This window comes from Homo sapiens, chromosome Y, assembly GCF_000001405.40.
Source record: "Homo sapiens chromosome Y, GRCh38.p14 Primary Assembly".
In the NCBI taxonomy this organism is placed as follows: domain Eukaryota; kingdom Metazoa; phylum Chordata; class Mammalia; order Primates; family Hominidae; genus Homo; species Homo sapiens.
This window is the reverse complement of record NC_000024.10, coordinates 8,255,659-8,257,074: the sequence shown is the minus strand read 5'-3', so window position 1 is coordinate 8,257,074 and position 1,416 is coordinate 8,255,659.

Below are 1,416 nucleotides of genomic sequence, written 5' to 3'. Positions count from 1 at the left end.
TCTTCTCTTCTCTTCTCTTCTCTTCTCTTCTCTTCTCTTCTCTTCTCTTCTCTCTCTTCTCTTCTTTCTTTCTTTCTTTCTTTCTTTCTTTCTTTCTTTCTTTCTTCCTTTCTTTCATTCATTCTTTCTTTCTTTCATTCTTTCTTTCTTCTTTCATTCCTTTCTCTATCTCTCTTTCGCTTTTTTTTTTTTTTTAGACAGAATTCTGCTCTGTCACCTAGGCTGGAGTGCATTGGAGTAATCTCAGCTCACTGCAACCTCCCCATCCTGGGTTCAAGAATTTCTCCAGTAACACCCACCCAAGTAGCTGCAACTGCAGGCGTATGACAACAATCTTGGCTAATATTTTTTATTATTATTTTTAGTGGAGACCAGGGTTTCACAATGTTTGCTCAGTCTGGTCCTGAACTCCTGTCCTCAAGTGATCCACTCCCCTCAGCCTCTCAAAATGCTGGGATTTCAGGCATGAGCCACAATGTTCACCCAGTTTTATGCATTTCTCTCCTCAGTGATCTCTCCTATCTCTTTTATTATTTTATTTATTTTTATTTCTGAGACAGAGTCTTGCTCTGGTGCCCAGACTGGAGAGCAGTGGTGTAATCTTACTTCACTGCAAACTCTGTCCTTGGAGTTCAATGGATTATCCTGCATCAGCCTCTGGAGTAGCTGGGTTTTCATCCATAGGCAACCATGCCCATCTAGCTTTGGTATGATATCAGACATGGGATCTTGCTATGTTGGCCAGGCTTGTCTCAAACTCCTGATTTCAAGAGATCCACCCACTTCAGCCTGCCAAACTGCTGGGAGTGCAAGTGTGAGCCTCCGTGCCCTGCCTCATATCTGTTCTAAAGCTCAGTTGATTAGTAATATTGTCTTCCTGGAATGCTTTATGTTTAAAAAACAACTATAGTACTATTATTTAGCCCCTTCGGATAAAATATGGTAACACGCAAAATATACACACACAGACACAGACACAAACAGTGATCAAAAGATCAGTGTAGGCCAGGACCTAAAAAGAAAGATGAGTTGCTACAGTTGACTAGAATTAAACCAGATCAGAGTTGACCCATACCCAGCCAAGAGATGTGAACAGGGGCTTTCAAAAACCTCTATCAGATTCATGTTAGATTATTCTACAGCCATAGCAAAGGGACATTACATATCTGTTGTGTTTAGAAGAGCCTTGATGGTTTGACCTTTCCAGGGTAATAACACTCATGACATTGGCCTTTAAAGTTCTCCGCAATTACTCAAATCAGTAGACAACTCAGTTTTTCTAGGTGTCTAAACTGCTTTTCAAAATTATCCAAACTTACTGGCTTAAAATAATGATTGTAGTTTACTAACTGTCAGTCTCTGCAATCTTCCACAGTCTCTCAGCCAAATGACTGTGGTTCAGGGGCACTCAGGAGG